Below are 19,003 nucleotides of genomic sequence, written 5' to 3'. Positions count from 1 at the left end.
TAGAATATTTTAAAAATGCTAAAAACATACAATTCAATTAGATAATGGGCAAAATATATGCAAAGACACTATATTGAAGAATATATACAAATGTCACATAAGCCCATAAAACAGTGGTCAGCATCATTCTCCATAAGGAAAACACAAAACCACAATGAAATATCACAACATACCTATGAGAATCAGCAAAATAAAAAATAATGCCGAAATCAAATGCTGTTGAAGATATAGAGAAATTGAGTCACACATAAACTACTGGAGGGAATGTAAAATGTTACTGCCACCTGGAAAACAGCAGTTTTTTTAGAAACTAAACATGTAACCACCATTGACCCAGCAATTGTACTCCTGGGCTTTTATCCCAGAATAATCAAAACTTATGTTGACACTAAAACCTGTGCATGAATGTTTATAGCATTCTTATTCACAGTAAAAATCCCAAACTGGAAACAACCCCAATGTCCTTCAATGGTTTAAACAAATTATGGCATATCCATATCATACCAGCAATTAAAAGGAATTAACTATCAACACACAGAACTTGGATGACTCCCCAGAGAATTATGCTGAGTGGAAGAGAAAAAAAAAGCCAATCTCAAAAGGTTACAAATTGTATGACTCCATTTTTATAACATTCATAAAATGACAAAATGATAGAAATGGAGAACAGATTAGTAGTTTCCAGGGAACAGCAAAGAAGGAAGTGAGGCTAGAAAAAGGACAATGTGAGGGATCCTTGTAGTGATGTAAGTATTCTGCATCTAGACTGTATCAATGGCAGTATCCTGCTTTTTTGTACTGATGTTTTGCAAGATGTTGCCAGTGGAGGAAACTGGGCAAAGGGTACTAAAAGAACTCTGTATTATTTCTTACAACTACATGTGAATCTATATTATTTCAAAATAAAAGTTTGAAACAACAATAAACACAATAGACCCTTCACATCAAAATATTAATAGAACTTTTATTGCTTCTTTTCCTAAATTACTTTTACTAAATAATTTCTCTGAACTGAGTTGGTCAGTGAGGACATCTGGTTTCTTCCAGACTTGCTGCATTTCTCTCCACCACTCTGTCCTCACCCTAGACCCTTTCAGGAAAAAGTTACCTGGGCACTTTCAGCCTTCCCCTGCTCAGTAGGCCTGGTCAGATTTCCAGACTCAGTTCTCAGAGCTTTCTTCCCTTATCATACAGCACTGGAGGGCATTCTGGAGGCCACCTCTCTACTAAAATTAGGGGTAATTAAGGAAACAGACATAATCCAGTTTCATTCATTTGAAATGGTGAAGCAGTCAGCAGTCATACATCCTCAATAGAGATGAAATACAACAAATAGAGAAGTATTAATTTAGCAGAGAAGGATATGGAAGACTAATAAAATTAAGAGAAAATGGAAAAGCAGTAATAATTTATTAAAAACTGTTGTTTGGTGAGGTATTAATGTCTGGGGCTCACCATTAGAGTGGAGAACCTTCAGCAGCATCTACACAGAGCAGCCATTTGTGGCTGGAAGGGGTGGGCTCCATGAAATGTCCCTTATATTCCTTGGGTGCCTGGTTGCCGCCTCCTGAAATTAGCCTTTCATAGCACCATGGACCTTATATCCCTTCTTAATTGTTTCAGATTCATTTTGCTGTAAGTGTGAGACCCATTTCATGCAAGATTTTATTGAAATCTTACTGGTACACAACTAGCCATTTACTGATAGATTTAGTGGGCAGATTTTCTCAACCACAGCACAAAGTTAGCTTCGAAGGGCTGGAAAGATAACTCCAAGGGAGTTTTAATATATTATTGTATTAGTGTTTATTGCTAGTGTTTTGTTTGTAAAAATTAAATAGGTTTCCCAAAGCACATACCTTTTGACCCCACTACATTAACAGAGGCTTAATTATTTACATGTGTCTAAAGTTTGATATTACAAAAAGGAATTTTTATACATTTTTAAATACTAAGATGTAATATCAATTGATGATAATTTCAATACATACCCAAATTATTTATTGACCTAATACCTGTATTTCCTTATAAAGCCAAACTGAGTTATAATAAATGCTATACCTTGACCTTGTTATCATCATAATTTGTTTTTATTGTTAGAAAAACCTATATATCACATGACATGTGTAAGAAAGGGAGGAGGGAAGAAGCTGATTTATTTGCTCTCCAACAAATCATATTCACCTTCTTCCTTGGAGGCCACTTGACCTCTGCAAACCCATATGTCATCCATCTCTCTGTCCTCCAAGCATGTGGTCACTGGTTGTGGGTGGGTTCTACACTCTGTGTTTGTTTTGATAAATGAAGAGCTGGCTCAAATACCATGTGTGACCTGACCGAGACTGAGTCTCAGGTTTCTGACATGTGAGGCTGCCATGGAGGTTTTGTTGAGTGTAGAGAGAAATGGCCACAAATTTGAAGATGTTGTCTATCTCTAGAGCTGGTGTTATTCAGTCATGTTGGGCAGATTCTGTTTTCTGAAGGGTGAAGAATAATGGAGATGGGATTATTCTTGAATGCTGCTGATTCTTTGGAGTTTGCTGAGTTGCTTTAGGAAATAAGAAATGAATCGGAGGCCCAGGTAGTTCCTCACTGCCTCCAGGACCCAGCATCACTGGGTCACCCTAGGGAGCAATGATAAAGAGAACATCAGGGACAATATCCCTGGCCTGGACTCTGGTCACCTAAGAAGGGGCACCCTTGGCAGTGACAATGAAAGAGAGAAAAATGTAGTGGATTCTACCTGATGAGGATCCCAACTGGAGTTGTTCTCAGATCATTTTGTGAACACACAGGAGAGAGCAATTAGGGAAATTCAGAGAAAATTTTAGGGTATTTGGAAAGGTAGAATCAACACAGTACTCAGAATTAGGATCCTGGACATTTGGGAGTTAAACATAAACGTGACCCCATTTTACCATCACTGACTGAGGAGGCTTACTAATTTGGTATATGACTATATCTGCATTTATTAATTTTTTCTAACTGCAGTATTTCCAGAACTTTACATGCAGTAACTTGGTTCTTAAAAAAGCCTTGCCAGGGTTGGGCGTGGTGGCTCACACCTGTAATCCTAGCACTTTGGGAGGCCGAGGCGGGCGGATCACGAGGTCAGGAGATTGAGACCATCCTGGTTAACATGGTGAAACCCCGTCTCTACTAAAAATACAAAAGTTAGCCAGGCGTGGTTGTGGGCACCTGTAGTCCCAGCTACTTGGGAGGCTGAGGCAGGAGAATGGCGAGAACCCCGGAGGCGGAGCTGGCAGTGAGCCGAGATCATGCCACTGCACTCCAGCCTGGGTGACAGAGCGAGACTCCATCTCAAAAAGAAAGCCTTGCCAGGCAGATATTGTCCCCATTTGACTTATAGGATTAGTGAGGCTCAGAGTGTTGAGTAATTTGCACAATGTCACTCAACTGCTTGAATGGTAGGTGTGTCTGTTCTCAAAGGCTGGGCTACATCTCCTCACTAGCTGTATCCCCGATTTCCAATCCTGGGCTTGATTCCAAAGGATACAGGAGTCCTGTGGAAGGATAGGCTTGCTACACCTTGAATCCCACTTAGAAGTTCACCTGAGGGATGGCTCTTGACCATGACTGGGCCGGTCATCACACCTCATCCTGTAGGGAGAAGGGGTAGAGCACATGGATAGAGGGAAGGAGGAGGGATTTCCTAAGGGTGATTGTGTTCTGGCCCAACAAATCCACACTGTCCACTATATCTCCCCATGTGAGGAAGCGATTTATCACTTGGGGGTGGGAGATCAAATGGGTGAGGAAGATTGCATCACACAGAGCAGAAGCTTCAAGGGCTTGCCTCACAACTGATTCATTGCAGTGATCTCCAGAGCCTGAACCCCTGGGATCCAGGCCATCATCTCCCTGACAGGAACAGATAACAAACTTGTTTCTCCCCACAACTGATGCCTGAAACCAATCTCAAACTGCCCACCTCTTCCCTGGAAAACAGTCCTCATAGATGAGTAACAAGATTGCCAACTCCAAGGGCACCAATTCTAATCTGTCTTGTCAGGTCAACCCAGACAGATTTCTTTCTCAGAAAATTGATTTCTTCAAACAATTATATAGCAAGCATTTGCCATTCCCTTAAAAGATGGACACAATGACAGAAAAGAAGCTAGAACATAGTATCCATATAATTTTTATACCACCCGTTGCAGACTGAGACAGAGATTAGGCTGGGTGACATGCAGTGTGTGTCACCCACATAGAAGTGGCAAAAATTATTTAGCTTAAAATAAACGGTTACCATGTATAATTAAAACTTTCAAAGAGTTGTCCATTGATCGAAAAACATGATCCCCTGCTCTTGTTTCCAGCTGTATGTGGAGCTGATTGGCTCATTTAGGGGCAATATGCCTTTGATATTTGAATCCGTCGTTCACTTTAACTTTAAACAGACAGGCTGGGGAGAGGAAGCTGGGCTGGTGATGTGCTAATTCTTGTTTGTGATTTACCCCCGAGAAACTATAAGAAACCTGCAACTTATTGTACATTAACAACTGAAACTGGAGACAACCACATCTGGTTTGTTGGTTGGTCCTCCCCCACCCCTCCCTCTGCTTTTTTAAAAAAACACAGCAACCCAAAATGCTCAAGCTAGATAGTTTGATTAAAATGGTTAATTTATCAGGGATAAAAGGTTGGAGGATAAATTACTCCCGAGAGAAAGGTTGAGTCATTTTGCAAGACGGGTTATAAGCATCAGTAGATAAAAGCAATTTTTTTAGCCTATTATGGAATTTCTCAAAGCCGTTGTATAAAGAATGTGTGGTAAAGCTTTTAAAATGGATTCAAGTTTTGCAGTTGGAGGGCCAAGTGGCTCTGAACCACTGGAGTAGTCTGTCTGGTACCGGTTTTGGTCTCTCACAGAGGCCCATGGTCCTGAGGAAGCAGATGGGGTGTGGGTTGGTTTGAGGTAGGAAGCAATCAGCTTAATAAGGGGCCCCTTTGTCCATTAAAAATATATTTTATGATTGCATTGGTGTGAAGAAAAATATATTAATATTATATATGAAAACATTTTAAACTCTTCCTCTCACTCCTCCTCTCCCCTTCCCTCTTCTCTGCTTCCCTCTTCCCCCACCCTGCCCCTCTGTTTCCACCTGCTTTCCTGTCCATTCCTTTCCTTGTTTCTGGCTTTGTCTATCCACAACACTCTCCATAGTCTCTTATCCCGGCCACTGCAATGTCTCGCCTGCTGTTTTTCTGACTCACCTTTGAAATATTCCTTTGACTTTAATTAAACTCAAGGGCCTGGAAAACTCATTCATTCCTGTCTTTAAAAAAAATAGACAAGCATAATTTCCAGGCCGTTTTCTTGATTTTCAGTTCCTACACTTTTTTCAGCTCTCAACGACTGTAATCTCTTCTTTCACACAATACTTTCTTTTCCCATAGTCAACCAACTTGGCCTCATGTCAGTTGAGCATTGATTTTTTTTTTTAAGAAAATGCTACCGATAAAGAAGCTAGCACAATGAAAAGGATCCAGTGGCAATTGGAATGAATGGCCCTACATTTTCAGGCCTTCTGAAAATGATTTTTCATTTATGAGATGCTTTTGACTCTAGTCCAGACCAAAACAAAGAAGGGTCAAATTTTCCTGAGAATCACAATGTAGTGACGCCTGGGATTTATTGAGAAAATCTTTCATGATGAGATTTCCAGTTCATATTTCCAGGTGTGGAAAGTGTTTTCCCAGTTTAATGAGAGCACCAACAGGGTAGGTACTTGCCTGATTCAAACAGGTAAATAGATTTGTGGTCTTCCCATTACACGTGGGTTTTATTGATTCTACCGCTGTTAGTTACATGGGATTAAGATGATGTTGAAATGAACTCACCATGCTCAGGTCCTAGAGAGAAAATCCATGACTCATATGGATGAGTCTTAGTGAATGAGGTTTGCTAGAGGATTGTGTGTCTCTTGGGAACTTCAAAGCTCAGAAAAGAAGCTGTTTCTTAAAACTAGGCAGGAAAACCATTTATGAAAACTCTGGCCATGATTTCAGAGCACATGAGAGGATGGTGAGGAAATGAGAAACCAAATGAAATGCCAAGGAAAGAAGTTACCATTTTCTGAGCTTCCACTGTGTTCTGGACACATCACAGACAACATCTCATTTCATCCCTCTCAGGAGACCCAGCAGGAAAGTATTCTCTGTGAGCAACCCCACTGCAACCACCACCCACTTAACAGGTGAGGAAACGAAGGTGGAGAGTCTAAACAACTTGCCCAAGTTTACATACAGTTGCTGTATAAACCCTTTTGCGATTCTTTTGCCTTTGAAGAAACCATTCTTCCAGCATCTCTTCTTGGAGACTTAAGAGTAGAAGCTGTTTATATTAGGCCTTCCAGAAAAGTGACGTTTTTATTTAAAAAGAAAATATTAGCATGTTGTTGGAAGCTCCAAGTCTCCTATGGTAGGACAGGAATCCAGCTAGCGGGGAGGGACTTGGGGGCTGGGGAGACTGGGCATGCACCAGTGAGGAGCCGGCCATCAGCCATCTGCTCTGGGCACTTTATGTGGTTCCTTCACCCTTCCGGGCACCACATTACAACTGTCACAGCAAAGTCCTTCGGGGTGATGTGATACAAAGATGACATTCCCATTTATTAAACTCCTTGAACGAAAATAAACAGAGGGAAATTATTAAATATTGCAATATCGCATATGTTGTGTCTAATTTAGGATTCACCATAGACTAAAATCATCACTGTTTACAAAAACACTATCTGAGTGCTGGGTACTTTCAACGAGATTCCTCACATGCAAGGAAAGCACAATACGCATGTTTTCTATTTGAATGCCAAACTCAGAGAGGTTACCTTATTAAAAACCCTAGTTCATATAAATGCCAGGTGTTTTTAGAAAATATCATAGTTCATAAATACTGCATCCCCTCAGATCATCTCCTCAGCCTCTGTCTTCAACATGGTACCAGGAAAAGTGTCAGAACTTGCAAAACCACTTTGAATCCACAAATAAAGGGTGGGTATTAAAAAAAAAATTCAATGCATAAACCCCTGGGAATAATGGAGACAAGCCAAAGAAAAGGGCTTGTCTTTTCAGGAGCTCCCAGAAAGGAGGAAAATCCTCCAGAGAGGCTCCTAACTGGGTGGAAAAAGGCTCAAAATGGAACCAAAGTTTAATTGCCTCTCCAGGAGCCAAGCCAGGCCTGGAGGGAAAATGGGAGACAGGTCTTTGATTCAGCGCATCTGTACCACAGGGGCCTCACCATGTGCAGGCCAGCATGATCCTCCCCCTCCAGAATGTGTTCGCACTTCCTGTATCCTTCCCCAATACACACTAATGCACCTGTGGGGTGGGGAAGGGGCTCTCTTTTAGAGACAAGCTTGGGCCCCAAGAAGGAAATTACATAACAATAAAGTCATTCTGGGTTTGTCTCACTAACCTATAAATTAAGCCTGATCCTGTAGGCCAGAGTGGAAAGGAGTTTGCAGATATTTTGAGCACCCATCTAGTCCAGTGGTTCTCAAAGTATGGTCCCTGGACCAGCAGCAGCATCAACATCATCTGGGAATTTGTTAGAAGTGCAAATTCTCAGGCCCCACCTCAGGTCCATTGTATCAGAAGGTCTTGGTGAGGGCCTAGCATCCTGTACTGTAACATGTCCTCCAAAGGATGCTGGTGCTGATGTGGGTATGCATGCTGTATTTTCAAAATCACTGGCCTGGTTTACTAGGTAATGGTAACCCCCAGGGCTATGCCTTCCTGATTTTATGCTGCCGATAATTGAATGCTTGCTGTCCTTTAATTTAATTTAAGCATTCCCACAACTTTTGTGGTTGGTACTAATATTTTTCCCATTTTACAAATGAGGAAACAGATATTCAGAGATTAAAGAGTACTCAAAACACTGACCTAGTCAATGTGAGAATAAGGTTTAAATCCACAGACAACACTGTTTACATGCATTACGATTCTCCACACTGGAACTCCTCTCCTATCAGAAATATCTGACTTGCGAAAGGAAACTGTAAGAATCAATGAGACCTAATACAGAACATCAGACTGTAGGCTTGGGAGAAATGTTAGAATCCACCCTTCAACTTACATATAAATTCTCTACAGTAATGTTCCGTAAAGGATGTTCCAGGGACCACTAGTTTCACAGAATATTAACAGGCAGGTACACACAGAGTTCCATGGCCAAATAAGTTTGAAAAATGGTGGCTTAAACTTTGCTGAGTTAATTTCTTAGCAGCAGGACTTCTCAGTGCTGTTGATGAACGTGATCAGGCATGAGGTGACCCACCACAGGTACAGTGCATACCATATGTCTCATGTTTAATTGACTACGGAACTGTTTGCTCCCAGAGCATTTCTTGATTTTGTAAGGCTGTAGAATAAGATTTTGGAAGCCCCAACCTACAATATGCTTTGGAAGGCAGGATCCAGGCTGTGGGTGAAGATCTCCAGTCTTAGGACACTTCCTGCTCTCCAGGAAGCCCAAGCTGTGAGCAGATATGCCTGCCTGCTTGGAAGTTCTGTGTGTTGAGTGGAACCTCCTCCTCAATAGCTTCCTGCCACTGCTACTTATTCTTTCCTGGGCAAGACTGAGGGTAAGTCTAGTAAGTCCCTCTTTCACATCCAGGCTCCTTGGAGATGAGAAGGCAAGCACTCTATTCCTTCCTAAGACTTGTTTATCCAGGACTCAACTCTCCAGGCCTTCCAGCCTTTGCTCAGTGCTATTGTCATCCCCTTTCATCTGGATTATTGCAGTAGCCTCATAGCTAGCCTTTGATATTTTGACTCCTCTAATGTCCATGGCAGCCAAAGCAGAAAATATAAATAATCCTATCTTGTCCCTACTTAAAACACTTCAGTGGTTCTTCATGGAACTTGGATTGAAACCCAACTCTCTAAATTGGCCTAATGCCCTGAGACGTCCTCCTCCTCCCTACCTGAAAATTTAACAGTGCCTTTTCTTCACGAAGCTCCAGCTACACTCTCCTCTCCATTCCCAACTGGCTCTTTCCCACCTCCAGGCCTCTGTCCTTGCTGTTCCCTCTTCCTGAAATGCTCTTCCATCACTTACTGAGAGGCTGCCTCCCACTGACCTCTTAGGTCTTAGTTTAAACTGTCACCTTCTCAGAGGCCTTCCCAGACAACTAGTCTCTCTTAGGGTTCCTATTACCCCCTGCCTCAGCACTCTGCCCTTTCCCTTATTATACAGCCCATGCTTCCTAATTCTACGCTTGTGTGAGAATTGGTTTAATATCTGTATCCCCTGCTCAAAAGTCAAATTGATTGCATATCCAATAAAGACCCTTATGCCTTGCATATAGCCTGCTCTCAAAATTTTGGGATGAAGGGACAATTGTTTGTCTCCAGACCCTTCACATCCTTCACCTCCACCTTCTCAACTGCTAGTTCCTGGAACTTACACACACAATAGGTGTGCTCTGCCTCATGACGTTATTATCTCCTATGCCCTGGATACCATATCTCGATTCACACCAGAGACTAAATTACCTTTTCCAGTGGCTGCCTCCTACCTTGGGCTCACACTAGACTAACACTAAGTCTTCAAACACTGCCAGCTCTTTCCACATGTACTCCCCTACAGTATGACTTGCCTGGGCTAAAAATATGCTACAAATTCCGAGGCCTCAGCACAGATCCTCTGTCTTAACATCTGTTGAATACTTCTCTTTTTTTCAAGCATGAAGTCATCTCATTCTTATCGTAGTCACTGATATCTTGCAAGGAGCTAGGGTGAGGAGTGAAGACTAAGTCCTGTGACTCAGACCCACAGCGGCTTCCCACTAGATTGGCACTATCCTTTGGTGATAGCACATCCTTCAGTTGAAGGGCTAATGGTGGCACTTCAGTTGCTATGTCACCCAGTGAAAGGTGCACTATTTGGGGAGCCCGTCCACCTGAGCTGACACTGAAGGTAGCCCTGTTTGAGCAGAGAAATTGATCCCTCTATTCTCACAAGTACTTTTATTCCCCCCATTTGGGATCCCATATCTCTTTTTCTTCTCCTCATCTTTGGAGGCACGTACCCTTCTATGTTGTGGACCTGTCTGAGCTAAGTAAATTTTCTTCTTCCACATAGTCATTTTGAAATTTAAAATGCTCTCTGGCTGGCCAGGCCTGCATGGTGGCTCACACCTGTAATCCCAGCACTTTGGGTTACTGAGGCAGGTGGATCACTTGAGGTCAGGAGTTCTAGACCAGTCTGGCTAACATGGTGAAACCCCATCTCTACTAAAAATACAAAAAATTAGCTGGATGTGGTGACAGGTGCCTGTAATCCCAGCTACTCAGGAGGCTGAGGCAGGAGAATCGCTTGAACCTGGGAGGTGGAGGTTGCAGTGAGCTGAGATCACACCAGTGAACTCCAACCTGGGCGACAGAGCAAGACTCTGTCTCAAACATACATACATACATAAAAAAATGCTCTCTGTTTTCACCTTCAGTATTTACTGTAGAGATTGAATTAAGCTTAAGAGGAGGAATATAATGTAATGATTAAGGATTAATAATTAAAATCATGGTCTTTAGATGCAGACGGAATTGGGTTATGATCCTGGCTTCATCAGTCACTAGATGTCACCTCAGGAAAGTTGTTAAGGGCCCTCAGAATACTCACAAAATGGACCATTCAAATGCACCTTCCAGAATGTAGCAAGAATCTAATTGGCACTATGGCTGCCATGGGTAAAAGGGGGCTGGAGTTGTCATTTCTTCTTATTGTTTAGTCTCTTTCGTGTCTTTCTTCCGTAACTAGTTGCTCCAAAGGTGGGGATTAGCAAACTTTTTCTGTGGAGATCTAGAGAGCAAAGATTTTAGGCCTCATGGGCTGTATAGTCTCTGTTGAAACCACTCAACTCTGCCATTGTAGTGCAAAGACATCCACAAACAACATAGAAACAAATGAGCATGTTCGTGTTTCAAAAAAAAAAAACCTTAATTTACAAAAGCAGGCTGCAGGCTGAATTTGGCTTGCTGATTGTAGTTTGCCAACCCCTGTCACAGACTTCATTTGTAGGTGACTGTTTGATGGCTTTGGAAACTCTGAGCCCCTGGCTTCCACGCAGCATGGCTTCTGGCCTGAAGGATAGGCAGGAATCTGTGCCACTCTGGTCATGTAAGTTTTAGTTTTGCCAGATGAATCTCCATGCTATTTGTGGGAAACTCTGCAGGTCGTCCAGGAAGAATGACCTCAGTCAGCCAAGAAAATCTCTCTCCTTGGGAAATGTCTTGGTGGTGACAGAATCAGTTTGTACAAAGAGGAAAAGATACTTGTCCAGTCCATGGAAATGACAAAGCTAAGTCCCTGCATCAAATGCCACATTAGAAGAGATTCTAACAATTAGCAATCTGTGAAGAGGAAGGAATCAAATGTAGCCTGATGGGTTTCCTGGCTGGCTCTAAATTCTCTTTATTAACTCGGATTGCATTTGGCTGCTTGTAGCTAAAATCTGACTGTAGTGGCTGAATCAAATAGATTTAATATTGGTAACCTAAGAGAAAGTCTTTCAAAGACCATGGTTCCTCCTAGCTCCCTGTCTTGTAATCCTTCTAGTGTCTCTTTTGACTTCACAGCCACAAGATGGCTGCTCTGAGTCCAGGCATCGGGTGCAAACTTTAGGCTAGAACAAGAAAAAAATGATAAGGAACAAAGTCCTCTCCAGAGTCATCTGTCCCAGGAGCCTTTCACAGTGGACTTTGCACTTACATTTCATTGGCCAGATGAGAGTCACATGACTAAGCTTCAGGGGAGTCTGGGGAAATGAATTTCTTTAACTGGGCACACTGATACCTCAGACAAATCTGGAGTTCTCTTATTGAGAAAAAAAGGAGAGTGGATTTTGAGGGAGGCAATAGCAAGGTCTGTCACATTATCCAAAATGGCAAGTGTGTGCTGCACAGTGGTTGAAAACAGGACTCTAAAATTGGACTGACTCGGCCAGGGTTCCTCATTTCTGAAGGAGAATCATATAACCTCTCTCAGGGTTGTTATTAGGATTGGATAAAATAATCCATGTAAAGTGCCAGACATTAACAGACATCGTTATTGTTAACTATTGCTACTATTCTTCCTCCCTGCCCCTGGGAAACTGCATTTTTTTTTAAGTAAATTCCATTTCTTTGAAGTATATAAATGAGAGAATGCTTGGAAGATTTGAATAATTCTGTTTGACAGAGTCCCAAGAGGGTCTTTGAACTAGGTTCTGAAAAATGAGTAGGAATTTGCCAGGCAAAAAAGAGGGAACCAGGAAGGGCATTCCAGGAAAAGGGAACAGCAAATGCAAAAGCGTGGTGTCAAAAAAGAGCATTTGGCCTCATCACATCACCTAGTAGTGATTCTTTCTAACTGCAGAGATATCAGGGGAATGTTTCCAAAGGTCTAAGGAACATGACTAGAGATTAAGAGGCAAGTGCAGTGGCTCCACTATCAAGCACAAGCTCTTTGTAAAGTGTTTATGTTCGTTAAATGGAAACAACTAGAAATGTAGAGCTGCCTGTTCAAAAACTGTTGGACTAGATTTTATTCTGCACTTACTATCCCTGTCCTGGACTCAGCACTTTACATTCACTAGCATGTGCACCATTCTGGTAACTTTATGAAGTAATTGTTATAATCCCCATTTCATGTGCGAGCTAACTGAAGTTCAGGCAGGTTAAACAAGACATTCACCCAAGTTCACCCAAGCAAGGGCCAGAGCTCTTAATGGTGAATCTGTCATCTCTCCAGGCAAGCCATCTACCTCCTCCATTATCATCTTTATTGTTTTTATTTTTTTATTTTTATTTTTTTCAAGATGGAGTCTCGCTCTGTCACACAGGCTGGAGTGCAGTGGCGCAATCTTGGCTCACTGCAAACTCCGCCTCCCAGGTTCAAGCGATTCTCCTGCCTCAGCCTCCTGAGTAGCTGGGATTACAGGCATGCACCACCACACCCGGCTAATTTTGTATTATTAGTAGAGATGGGGTTTCACCATGTTGGCCAGGCTGGCCTCGAACTCCTGACCTCAGGTGATCTGCCTGCCTCAGCCTCCCAAATCGCTGGGATTACAAGTGTGAACCACTGCACCCAGCCTCCATCACCATCTTTAGATCATCTTTATGTAGGAGACTGTAGCAATGTTCCTCAAGGCTTAGAATCTTAGGGCTGGAAGAGATTAGAGCTGTGCGTTCCAATACGGCAACTACTGGCCACATGTGACTATTAAGCCTTTGAAATGTAGCCATACAAATGTAGCCTTGAAATGTATGGCTAGTGCAACTGATGAATTGAATTTTAAATTTTATTTAATATTAATTAATTTTCATTTAAAAATTAATACTAAATTAGATATTGGAAAGCTTTAAGTATGTTTGGAATAACTTGGGTATGGAGATATATCTTTTTGCCTGTAAATTTTATGAAATCTAAATACAGGTCAAATATGTCTGATGAAAACTTGGCATCTGAAATGCGAGGTACTTTAAGAGTAAGACACACTCTGGATTTCAAAGATGGAGTACAAAAAATAATGTATAATATGTCACTAATAAATTTTATATTGATTATATGTTGAAATGGTAGTATTTTAGGTATATTGGATTTAATAGAATATATTTTTACACTTAATTTTACCTGTTTTTACATTTTAAAAGGTGACTACTAGAGAATTTAAAATTACTTATATAACTCACATTATATTTCTGCTGAATTATACTGCTATAGAGAACACATCTTTTCAGATGGGAAAAGCTGGCTTCTCTCTGTTTTGAAGAGAAGTTGATTACTGGATGGGGACAGATCCCATTCACACTTTTGTCTCAAATGGCACAAACTTGGACAAGTCAGCATGTTTCCATGGATCAAGTTCTAAAAAACTGTAAAACTGTGAAACTACAAGAAAACATCGGAGAAACTCTCTAGGCCATTGGTATGGGCCAAAAAATTCTTGAGCAATACCGTACAAACACAGGCAACCAATGCAAAAATGAACAAATGGGATCACATCAAGTTAAAAAGCTTCTGCAAAACAAAGGAAACAAAAAACAGAGTGAAGCGACAACCCGCAAAATGGGAGAAAATATTTGCAAACTATCCATCTGACAAGGGATTAATAACCAGAATATATAAGAAGCTCAACAACTCTATAGTAAAAAATCTAATAATTCAATTTAAAAGGGGAAAGATATTTGAATAGACATTTCTCAAAAGAAGACATAAGTAGCCAATAGGCACATGAAAAGATGTTCAACGTCATTGATCATCAGAGAAAGGCAAATGAAAATTACAAAGAGATACCATCTCACCCCAGTTAAAATGGCTTATATCCAAAAGTCAGGCAATAACAAATGCTGATGAGGATGTGGAGAAAAGGGAACTCTCATACACTGTTGGTGGGAATGTAAATTAATACAACCACTATAGAGAACAGTTTGGAGGTTCCTCAAAAAACTAAAAACAGAGCTACCATATGATTCAGCAATCCTACTCCTGGGTATGTACCCAAAAGAAAGGAAATCAGTGTATTGAAGAGATATCTGTACTCCCATGTTTGTTGCAGTACTGTTGGCAATAGCCAAGATTTAGAAGCAACCTAAGTGTCCATCAACAGATGAATGGATAAAGAAAATGTGGTGCTTATACACAATGGAGTACTATTCAGCCATAATAAAGGAATGAGATCTTGTCATTTGCAACAACATGGATGGAACTGGAGGTCATTATGCTAAGTGAAATAAGCCTGGCATAGAAAGACAAACATTGCTTGTTCTCATTTATTTGTGAGATCTAAACATCACAACAATTGAACTCATGGAGACAGAGGGTAGAAGGATGGTTACCAGAGGCTGGGAAGGGTGGTGGGAGGATGCCAGGGAGATGGAGATGGTTAATGGGTACAAAAAAAAAATAGAAAGATTAAGATCTAGTATTTGATACCACAACAGGGTGACTATAGACAATAATAATTTAACTGTACATTTTCAAATAACTAAAAGAGTATGATTGGATGATGGTAACACAAAGGATAAATGCTTGAGAGGATTGATACCCCATTTTACATAATATGATGATTGTGCATTGCATGCCCATATCAAAACACCTCATGTACCCCATAAATATACACACCTACTATGTACCCACAAAAATTAAAATATAGAAATTATTAAAAACCCAAAATACCAGGTAAACTTCTTTTACATTCCAGGTTCCTATGATCCTATTGAAATCTCCAGAATTTCAAATACATTAATTATCATAGTTTAATATCAAGAGGAAAACTGGAGTTTTTTTTTTTTTTTTTTTTTTTTTTTTTTTTTTCAGACGGAGACTCACTCTGTTGCCCAGGCTGGAGTGCAATGGTGTGATCTCGACTCACTGCAACTCCTGCCTCCTGGGTTCAAGCGATTCTCCTGCCTCAGCCTCCTGAGTAGCTGGGATTACAGGCGCATGCCACCGCACCTGGCTAATTTTTGTATTTTTAGTAGAGATGGGGTTTCACCATGTTGGAAAACTGGAGTTTTACATCTAATATAGGAAACTATCTGGTAATGAGTTATGCTTCTGCAATAGTATTTTAGACTTGATTCAAAAGCATAACAAATTAATAGTTATCCTTACTAGATAATGTGTAGTATATGTGTGTGGTTATATATAAATGGATATATATGCACTAACACACACACACATATATATACATACACACATACACATGTATACACACACACGCAAGTTACTATTCTTATTTCAATATTTCAGACAGGAAAACTGATTAAATAACTCATCCAAAGTCACTTTGCTAGTAGTAAAGGGTAGAGCTGGGACTCATGTTGTAGTCTGCATGATCCCAATGTCTGCACAAATATCCACTTCCCTATAATACCGGTGCCCATGGCCAGCCCCTTCAGAGTGCCCTCTCCTTTCAGTCATCAGCTGTAAATCCAGGAGCCACAACTGAGTCTGTGCTGAAATGGGGAAGGAGTTCGGAGTCTGGGTGCCCTGAAATCTATAAAAGGTTCAGGGAACTTTGAGGTGAGAGGTTATGAATTAGCCTCCCAGACCAAAGGGAGTGCTTCCCATTTGTTAATTTGATTTTGTTTAGGTTACTGAGCCATGATTCATCCTTAATTGCATTGTTTCAAATGACTAAATAGTCTAAGTATTAACCAACTGCTGAGTGGTTGCCCAGCTTTGGTTTAAGTGGGACATCTTCAGCTTAGGAGTCATTAAAATCAAAACACTGTTGGGCTTCCAGTGGGGTATTGGGTCATCTGCCCACTGAAAGATGGTCCTGGTGCCTGGTGGAACTCCAGAAAATGGAGAATGTATCCCTTCTGTCCCTGTTGCCTGTGTGGGAACTGGACCTCCCACTTCATGTGGGGTTGAAAGTTCCCATAGATGGAATGCCAGAGGACAGACTAATCTGATTCAATAGATAGACATTCCTCCTGACTGTGGACCTTAGCAACGCACTCCACCAGAAAGGTTTTGAAAAAAATTTTTTTTTTGAAATGGAGTTTCATTTTTGTTGCCCAGGCTGGATTGCAGTGGTGCGATCATGGCTCACTGCAGCCTCTGCCTCCCGGGTTCAAGTGATTCTTCTGCTTCAGCCTCCCAAGTAGCTGGGATTACAGGTGTGTGCCACCACGCCCAGCTAATTTTTTTTTTTTTTTTTTTTTTAGTAGAGACAGGGTTTCATCATGTTGGCCCGGCTGGTCTCGAACTCCTGACCAGCCCGCCATGCCCAATCTGAAGTCTGATAATGCATAGGAAGATTTCCAGATTGAAATTATTATTCTCAGAACATGTTCTACTGGGCCTCAGATTCCTTTTCTATCAAATGGGAGTAATGTCAGCTCTACCCTTTACTCCGCTGTGTGAGCAGAGAAAATGACATGATCTCTTATAATAAGCTTTGGAAACATTTTTCAAACAGCTTATCAAAATGTAAAATATTGTTGGTTGAATATAAATCTTTTTCAGCACATTTGTGGGTGTCATGAGTCTTTGACTATGAAATCTATTTATGTTTAATTCCATATTACATTCCCAGCCCTATATTTTAAACTAGTAATTCTGAAGTATCCCGGCAGCTTGTGAAAGACTGTCAGGAGCTGAGAAAGGATGTGAACTTGGGCTTCATTCATGGTTAAGTTTCTAAAACATACAGGTTGGAAGTGAAAGAGGCTGTCATGGTAATGACTATATCAGGGCGATGGGCAAGTTTGGTTTGAACCATGGTTTGAGGGTATGACACACTCCACATGCTAGATTGATGCTTCTCACACTTTAGCATTCATAAAACTACCTGGAAAAGCTTGTTAAAATACAGATTCCTGGGTCTGATGCTTGGAGACTCTGATTCAGGGGGTCTGGGATGAAACCAGAGACAGGGCATTTCTAACCCAGCCTTAGTTGATGCTGATGCTGCTGGTCCACAGTCCATAGTTCAGGTAGAGCTGTTCTAGGTGAATCCTCTGTAGGACTGCAGCTACTAGGATTGGTCTAACCAGTCCCAGACCCTTCATCTACCAGGACAGCTGGCTAATGCCCCCAAGGAACTCTGTCATCTCAGGAACTGCCAAGCCAAACTGCCCCCCTTTCCATTCGTTCTGAGAGAGTGAATGGCTCCGGGAGTAATCTCCCTGTCTCAGAACACTCTTATGACCACACATAAATTTACTTTAAAATAAGCAAGGCGTGAACATGTAAGAATCCACTTAACATGAAGACTGACAGATTTCAGAATAATGTCCTTGTACTACAAATACCCCCACCCCAGGAAGGATTGCAGAGGGCTTAGAAAAGAAAGCCTGGATGGATATCCACATCTGTCAGTGAGACAGAGAGACAGGCTCAGTCACTCTATCTTCCTCAGAGCCTCTCCCTGATCTTTGGGAAAGGGGAGTGAACAACGGAACTGTGAAAAGAGCCCTTTTGACTCTTTTCACGTACTAAGCTCCTGAATCACGCTGGTGTGCTTCAGACATAGCAACACTCTTTAAGGCGGAACATCTGGACAGGGCAAGAAAGGGATCGGCCACATGGACTGGTGGCCTGCTCCAGATGTCTCAAAGGAATAAAGACATTCCCTCGTACAACATCAGAATCATTTGAGCATGCTACAAAATGTGTTTAATTTTGAATCTGAATATAGGTTAAAATGTCCATGATTTAAGTCAATAGCAGGAAGACCTGACACTGAGGGACTATGACAATAAAAATTCCTAAGGAGGACACTGACTTGGAGGAGACATTTGCAGTAAATTACAACCATGTTAGGAACATCAGGCTCATAGTTGGTGGAGCATTTGGCTGTGGGTTTTATTAATTTAGCTAAATACTAATATGCATATCTAAGTTCATTCACTCTCCGGATTAGCACAGTATTGTAACAGCCTTATATAGCATTAGCCTAATTTGATACACAAGTATTAACATGAAAGGGGATCCCTTTCGTGACAAGGTATTATTTCTATAGCAATTTAATATTTTATTGGCCTGAGACAATCCAGCGCCAATTTGCTTCCCTCCCCAAATACAGCATAATAAACATGGGCTTCTTTGTTGTAGCTGTGGTTTAAGGACAGCCACAGTGCGGATAGGGCATGAAGTTTTATTCCCCCGCTCCCCACATCAAACCTCTGTGTCTTCCTCACCATCAGAGGCCCATTGGCATTGTTGATGGTCTGTTTGCATACCTTTCTTTCTTGCCTAAGGGAAGTCAGATGGGATATTTAAGATCCTCCCCAACTTCCAGATTCTAGGATTGAAAACAGAGCAATAATGTGCCTGCTGCATCCCAAGTCGGGAGATGACTCACCCTTCCAGACTTCCTGGAATCCCCATGGAAATGGGCTTGCATCTTATTTAAATGGAAAAGTACAGCCATGACGAAAAAGGAAAATGTCGGTCAGGGTCATGTTGGTGTCAAGGCGCTAGGAAAAAGATAAAGGTCGGCATATTTTTCTCAGAACAGAAGCCTGCTGACCTATTCCC

The 19,003-nt window shown here is 41.4% G+C and overlaps 1 long non-coding RNA gene across 1 annotated transcript in view; it reads left to right on the top strand.

Moving 5' to 3' along the window:
* The window catches only part of LOC124906243 (uncharacterized), a 207,146-nt gene that overhangs the window by 142,512 nt on the left and 45,631 nt on the right, over positions 1-19,003 (top strand). The gene's annotated exons all lie outside the window — the stretch shown is intronic.

This window comes from Homo sapiens, chromosome 3, assembly GCF_000001405.40.
Source record: "Homo sapiens chromosome 3, GRCh38.p14 Primary Assembly".
Lineage (NCBI taxonomy): Eukaryota > Metazoa > Chordata > Mammalia > Primates > Hominidae > Homo > Homo sapiens.
This window is presented reverse-complemented; position numbering and strand designations above follow the sequence as displayed.